This window comes from Homo sapiens, chromosome 5, assembly GCF_000001405.40.
Source record: "Homo sapiens chromosome 5, GRCh38.p14 Primary Assembly".
Lineage (NCBI taxonomy): Eukaryota > Metazoa > Chordata > Mammalia > Primates > Hominidae > Homo > Homo sapiens.
The window spans coordinates 57,312,740-57,320,268 of NC_000005.10; the positions used below are offsets into that span (position 1 = coordinate 57,312,740).

At 44.3% G+C, this 7,529-nt stretch overlaps 1 pseudogene; it reads right to left on the reverse strand.

Annotated features, from left to right (window-relative positions):
* LOC100288510 (TSR1, 20S rRNA accumulation, homolog (S. cerevisiae) pseudogene) lies at positions 5,054–7,308 on the reverse strand (annotated as a pseudogene).

Here is a 7,529-nt window from a genome sequence, read left to right on the forward strand (position 1 = left end):
CTCTGTCGCCCAGGCTGGAGTGCAGTGGCACGATCTCGGCTCACTGCAAGCTCCGCCTCCCGGGTAAACGCCATTCTCCTGCCTCAGCCTCCCGATTAGCTGGGACTACAGGCGCCCTCCACCACGCCCGGCTAATTTTTTGTACTTTTAGTAGAGACGGGGTTTCACCCTGTTAGCCAGGATGGTCTTGATTTCCTGACCTTGTGATCCGCCCGCCTCGGCCTCCCAAAGTGCTGGGATTACAGGCGTGAGCCACAGTGCCCTGCCTGTATTATGTATTTTTAACATCTTTTGCTCTTACAAGGATTGGGCTCTACTTGTTTTCTTTGTTGGGTTATATCTTAGTCTACTACTGTCTTTGACCTTGTTGATGTTTCTGGGTACAAGCAAAACGGAAAAGGCTTCAGGTTTTCCTTTCAGAGGTTTTGCATAAAAGTCCAGTGTTTGGCTATTATGGGTTGAATTGTGTCCTGGAAAAGGATACATTGAAGACTTGGCCCCCAGAACCTCAGAATGTGACCTTATTTGGAAACAGGTTGATTGAAGTTGTAATTAGTTAAGACGTAATACTGGAGTGGACCGGGCTCCTTATCCAATATGACTGGTGTCCTTATATGAAGCTGGTTATGTGAAGACACAGACACACAGGGAGAATGCCATGAAGATGGGAGATGGTGCAACTACAAGCCAAGGAATGCCGAAGACTGCTGGCAACCACCAGAAGAAGCTAGGAAGAGACAAGAAGGATTTCCCTCCAGGTTTCAGAAAGAGTATGGCTCTGCCAACACCTTCCTCTGAGACTTCTAGCCCCCAGAACTGTGAGAAAATACATTTCTCTGTTTAAAGCCACCCAGTTTATGGTACTTTCTTCCTGCAGCCCTAGGAATCTAATGGCTAATGAAGTCTGGGCCCATGGTTCCCCCTCTGGATGCCTCATTCACAGAAATGGTTCCAGGTGACCTGGGTGGTGTACAGCAGTCCCTGCTTATCTGCAGTTTCACTTTTCACAGCTTAAGTTAACCTATGGTCAACAGCAGCCTAAAAATATTAAAGGGAATAATTCCAAAAATAGGCAATTCAAATAAGTTTTAAATTCAGTACCATTCTGAATAGTGTGCTGAAATCTGGCACTGTACCCACTGAGTCCTGCGGGGACATGAATCATACCTTTGTGCAGTGTGTCAGCGCTGCCTATGTTCCCTGTAGGTTAGCCACCTAGGAGCCATCTCGGTTATCAGAGTGACTGCCATGGTTTCATAGAGCTTGTGTTCAAGTCACCCTTATTTTACTTCATAATGACCCCAAAGCACAGGAGCAGTGATGCTGGCATATTGTTATAATTGTTCTGTGTTATTATTGTTACTCTGCCTAATATATAAACTAAACTTTATCGTAGGTGTATTATATATGTACTGTATAGAATAAAACATAGCATATATAGGGCTTGGTATGATTTGTGGTTTCAGGCATCCACTGGGATTCTTAGAATGTGTCTCCTGCAGATAAGAGAGGACTAGTATAATATGAGCAGATAGCAACAGGGCTGGATAGGAAGGTGGACAGCCACCCTTCACACATGCAGATCCATCTGCCTGGTAGTTCGGAGCCTCCTGTAGTGGTGACTGTTATGCTCAGTAGATTTTCCATCCCCCTTCTTCTTGGTTTCAGCCCCTTTAATGATGAGTGTGGGGATAGGCAGGGTGCTCAGGACCCTGGCTTGGCTAATGGATGTGTTGCATCCTCTGACAGCAGTGGCACGGAACCCAAACGGAGCCCAAACGGTTCTTCCTGGAATGGATGGAGAGGCACTGGGAGAGAAAGCGCTTTCTTCCCACTGGTACTGCTAAGCTGGGACTGCAGGCAGCCATGTGTATGTTTTTCTGAAGTGGAGAGGGCCTGCCTGAGGTGACTTTGTCATGGAAGCCTCATGCTTCCGAATCTCTGGGTCTCATTCCCAGGTCCCAGTTCCTGCAGTTCTGACCTCCATCTTGTGAACTACTGCAGGATTCCTCTCAGCTATAAGATTCACTGCATTTCATTTCTACTTAGTTAGAATTTCTTCTTGTGATAAAGGCTTTTTTTTTGTTGTTTTTTTTGCTGCTTCCTTCTCACCTTATAATTCCCTCTCTTAGAATATTGGGCAGTATTTTGGTTTACATGCAGCTGGATCCCACTACACCATGAGTTTCTTGAGAATAAGGCCTGCATTACTTTTTTTTGTTGTTACTTCATAGTGCCATGCCTGGATTATGTCTGGGCACCCCAGTTTTTTCTGGGGGCAATTGGCTGCCAAAATGATCAAATGAATAATAAGCAAGCTCGACTGGGATCACAGAATGTTTAAGTGGTAAAGGAACCTAGAGTTGTTCCTAATCTAGCGGTTTTCAAAGTTTAGACGCAGAATCCTTTCCTCATTGGAATCTTAGGTGGAAGCCCACGTGTAGAGCTCAGGGTGTGGAGTTGCTCTGGTTGGGGTAGAGGTTGTGGCCCAGGGGGCTGCCCTCTACTCATTTCCTCAGCATGGCCTCCGTGAGGCTTTTAGAGTTTGCTGGGGGCCACATTTATCCTCACTGAGCTGCAGTTCTCCCTCTCCAATCCTGCCTTCCTTTCCTTAAAAAGTGGTTGTGAGAAATCATAAGTTGATGCTACCGCACTACAGCTACTTCTCTCTCTCTCTCTGTTACACACACACACACACACACACACACACACACACACCCCTCTCTAGGGTCCTGGTAAAAGTACTGATGAGCGTGATATGTAATGCTGAAAGTCTCAAAGAATGATCTATACATTTCACAGTAGCTTTTGGACTTTTGGGAATAGGATCAGTTCAAATGATCCAAATTTAACCAAAGTTTTAATGGGAGAATCTCTTTTCTGAATTATGACACCTTTTCCAAACCATGCTTAATTCTTAATTCTATTTTCTGAACTACCACCTACCATCATCAGAACACTCCATGTCCTGTCATAAACGACTGCCCTGTCATCAAGGCCCCAGGCTGGTGCTATTTTTCTTCATTATTATCAGTTTTTTTATTGTGGTAAAAACACATAAGTTAAAATTTACCATCTTAACCATTTCTGAATGTATAGTTCAGTAGTGTTGGTTACATTCACATTGTCATGCAACCAATCTCTAGAACTCTTTTCATCTTGCAAAACTAGAACTCTGTGCCCATTAAACAACAACTCCCCAAGTTCCTCTTCCCTCAGCTCCTGGGAACCACCATTCTATTCTTATCTCTCTGAATTTGAATACTCTAGGGACTTTATGTAAGTGGAATCACACAGTATTTGTCTTTTTCTTCCTGGCATTTACTTAGCATAATGTCCTCAAGGTTCATCCATAGTGTAGCATGCGACATGATTTCTTTCCTATTTATTTATTTATTTATTTATTTATTTATTTATTTATTTCCAGACAGGGCCTTGCTTTTTTTCCAGGCTGGAATGCAGTGGCATGATCACGGCTCATGCAACCTCCACCTCTCAGGGTCAAGCCATCCTCCCAACTCAGCCTCCCGAGTAGCTGGGACTACAGGTGTGCACCACCACACTTGATTAATTTTTTGATTTTTTGTAGTGACAAGGTCTCACTATATTGCCCAGGCCAGTCTCGAACTCCTGGGATCAAGTGATCCTCCCATCTTGGCTTCCCAAAGTGTTGGGATTACAGACATGAGCCACCGTGACTGGCCTCCCTCCTTTTTAAGGGTGATGGGACAGAAAGCTTTTAAAGAATCTAGAGAGCAGACCACGTTGGGGGCACATAAAGAACACTTACTGAATACTCATTGGATGACTTTAATTTTTCTCATAATGTCTTTTAAATATTTGGTTTTCTAGTTTCAATAAGCTGGACCAGTCAGATTCCCTGTGGACATGAATGAAAGAAGAGACCAATCTGAGGATGCTTTGAGAGTTCCCGAATGTTCTACAAATGGTCCTGTCCCTTCCTGGCCTTCATAAAAAGAATGTTCTTTTTAACTTTGAGTAGTGGTTCTCAATGCAGGTGGGTGGGTCGGAGGTGGTTTTGTCCCCTCCCCAGAGGACATTTGGCAATGTCTGTAGGCAGTTTTGGTTGTCAGGACTTGTGGGAGGGTGCTACTGGCATTTAGTGGGTAGAGGTCAGTTTGCTGCTAAACATCCTACAATACACTGGACGGCCCACAACAAAGCATGACTCAGTCTTGTGGTAATAGTGCTGAGCTTGAGAAACCTGATGCAGAGACAGCAGCTCAAGAAGGTCACGCTGTGTATGGAGGGTTAGCCAATGGGGGACTTCCAGCCATTACATAGAGTGATGATTCTCCTCTTTAAGAAGGCCTGGCATATACTGAAATAGAACAACCTCCATCTACGTCAAAAGCTCAAAGTTGATACAAAACATCACATCAACAGTGGCTTTCTTATCTAAACACCATTTGTCAAAACAGAAAGCCCTTCAAACAGCTGACATTCAGGGAGGGCAGCCTCTGCCCTGCTCTGGGAGCCTCAACCCAGGATATTTCATGTTAACATAAACAGGATAAGCCTTTTCAGCTGCAGTGCTGTTTACCAGGAACCTGCTGGAATAAACTAGATTGTTAAGTTTAATTTAGTGAGCAGCAGTAATCACCGTAGTTCTTCCATTTGTGGAGAAGAAACAAACATGTGGGCACATCTGACAGAAGCTGGATTTGCCAAATGGTGGATTTGCCAAATGGTGAGGGTGACTTTGGAGTGCTACCCCAGCGGATGATGAATGTAAGGATGACAGACTCCATCCCTCAGAGGAAAGAATCAACTTAAAAGTGAAAGAAGCAAGCCTAACTGCCCTCCCTGCTCTGAGGGAGGAATGGAAAGGCATTCTGGAAACGCATTTCTGTCAAAGCCGAACATCAGCAAGTCAGTGACTAAGTTGAAAGGAAATGTGGTCAAAGGGTACAAAGTTTCAATGACCCTGGAGGAATATCCTTTAGCGATCTATTGTACAGCATGGTGACCACAGTTATTAATAATGCATTGTATTTATGCATTTATTTTTATTTCAGTAAGATTTAATAGCTTTTTGGATTAAGCAGTAGAAAAACTTCCATACTTAACTGAGACATTTTATCAAGGCCAAAAAAATTCTTGCAAAATGGTGCAGCCGACTGACAAGCTGACATAGAAAATAAACTTTGCCCAATCACAACTTGTGACTCCCATCCTTGGAGTGCTGACTGGCCTCAGTAAGACAGAATCGCTTTAAATCCATTACTCCATGCCCACCTGAGGCACTGTTGAAGAAATCTCACTGTTCACCCAAGGTGCTGGTTCTGGTACACTTGGATCATAAGTCCATTTGGGGAAAACTCATTTGTAAAGGTTCATCAGTTCTGTGTTCTGAGATTTTAGCTTCCTATCAAAGCTGCACTTCATGCGGCCATGGGTACCTGAAGGCTCCTGGATGTGTCCTCTGCGGCTCCACTTTGTTCTCAGTTCTACTGGTTTAAACCACTGCACATCCTCTCTATTGAAGAACATGTAACATACCACTGCCATCTTAGTACAAATTTTGAAAGGAGGATCACTCAGGACAACTCTCTTGATGACCATTCTGTTTGGATCCACCAGCAAAAGATGGCCTGTAGCAATGAGATTGTGCATTCCATTGCTTTTCTGCTTGAAAAGCAGCAAAGATGAAGGAGGAAAAGTGGTTGGTGCGTATACTGTCACCGCCAGGGCCATATCAGCAGTCAGGAATCTCTGAAATTTATGTTTGTCTGCTGCAGCATGCTGAGAGAATAAAGGTGAGGCTCGGAAGTGCCTGGATCTACAGCGGAATATGAGCTCCTCCTTGGCTTTCGCAGATTCAGTGCTGCCAGGGTCATGCCTCACCACCATATTCAATACTGACATCTTCTGTTCATGAGGTAGTGAAGAAAATGCAATCAAGGGTGCTCCTTGCCTGAATCACTCAACCACTGAGACAGGGACATTAGAGACATGAAGTGTGACATACTGGCCAACATCAGCTCCTTCAACCTCTTTTTCTTCAATCTCTTTAAATATGCTTTTCCTAGTACTAGTAAAGTTCTGAAACTGAAATATTCAAGCACAATCTTGAGCAATATTTTTCCTTAGGATCCTATGGAGATGTCTGGAAGCTCTTGAGGCCTTTGTATTTCTGAAACTGAATTTCTGGCAGCCACATCACAGGGGGTGTCCACCCACTTCACCTGGAAACATCTCTTCCAGTCTTTCTTGTTTACATTTCTCCAACATTTTTGCCTCAGCTTCTTCATCCACTTTCTCATCAGAGAGATCATCATGCACAGACTCCCTTGTAGTCATAGTTTCACATTCCTCCTCTTCTTCATCTTCACACTTTCATGCTGAGATTCCTCCTTCATAAAATCCTCATGTTCTGTATCATCATATTCTTTACCACCTTAGAATCTCCCTTCAAGAAATCCTTTGTCTCACTCAACTCCTCCTCATTGGGCCAGGTTTGCTCCCCCTGCGTTAGATCTGGGATAACCTCTGTTTGTCAGGATTCCTGTCTAGCAGGATCTGCCTTCATTAGGACTTTAAGGTCTTCTTCCATATCATCGACAGTATCCATAGCACAAATCTCTATTGCCATGTCTGGGTCCTTTTGGGATTTAATTACTGTAGGATTTAAAGGGAAAGGGTCCATGGGGTCATCTATGTGTTTCATCTGGAAATCACCACGTCCAGTGATATGCAGCAACCTATTTACATTCAGAGTCTGCCCACGAACATAGCCTGAAATTTCCAAGGTGCCCACCAAATTATTCTCTTCACTAGGAACAAAATCAGCAGTATGGGCAAATAGGTAGGCCTGCTGATCTCGAAAAGCAAGATGCCATTGCTTCTGGTTAGCCAACTGCCTAAGCAGCATCCCTGCCTCCTGTTGAGTGTCTAACAAGAGGAGTTTGTCATCCAGAAAGTGCTTCTCCACTGCTTTACTTAGCTTCTTTCTGGCATCTATTTGTTTCTTCAGTGGGAGGCCAGATAATCCCTGGACAGCTAGTGCTAATGAGGAGAGCCATCCTTGCTACCCAGCTGTCTCTTCTCCGCCAGAACCACCTCCTTCTTCTGCTTTTGGAGCTGACTGGCGGAATGCCTCTGGTCTACTCTGCTGAGTTCTTTTCTCACCTTCTTGCTTAGGGTTTTCAGTGCTAGATGGCCCTTGCCATCCTGCTGTGCAGATCCCCGACCCCGATGCTGCCCACTTTTATGAGCTTTATTCTGCATCTTGAGTGGGCTGGAGTGGTGGGCTGCCATGCTGCAGCTCACGTGTACAGAGTCAGCCCATTGTATTTATTTCGTTTTATTCTTTAATCTTTTTTTTTTTTTGTAAAGTCGGGGTCACACTATGTTGTCCAGGCTGGTCTTGAACTCCTGGACTCAAGTGATCCTACCACCTTGGCCTCCCAAAGTGCTGGGATTACAGACGTGAGCCACCACGGCTGGCCAATAATGTATTGCATATTTCAACATTGCTAAAATAGAGTTTTAATGTTCTCATCACA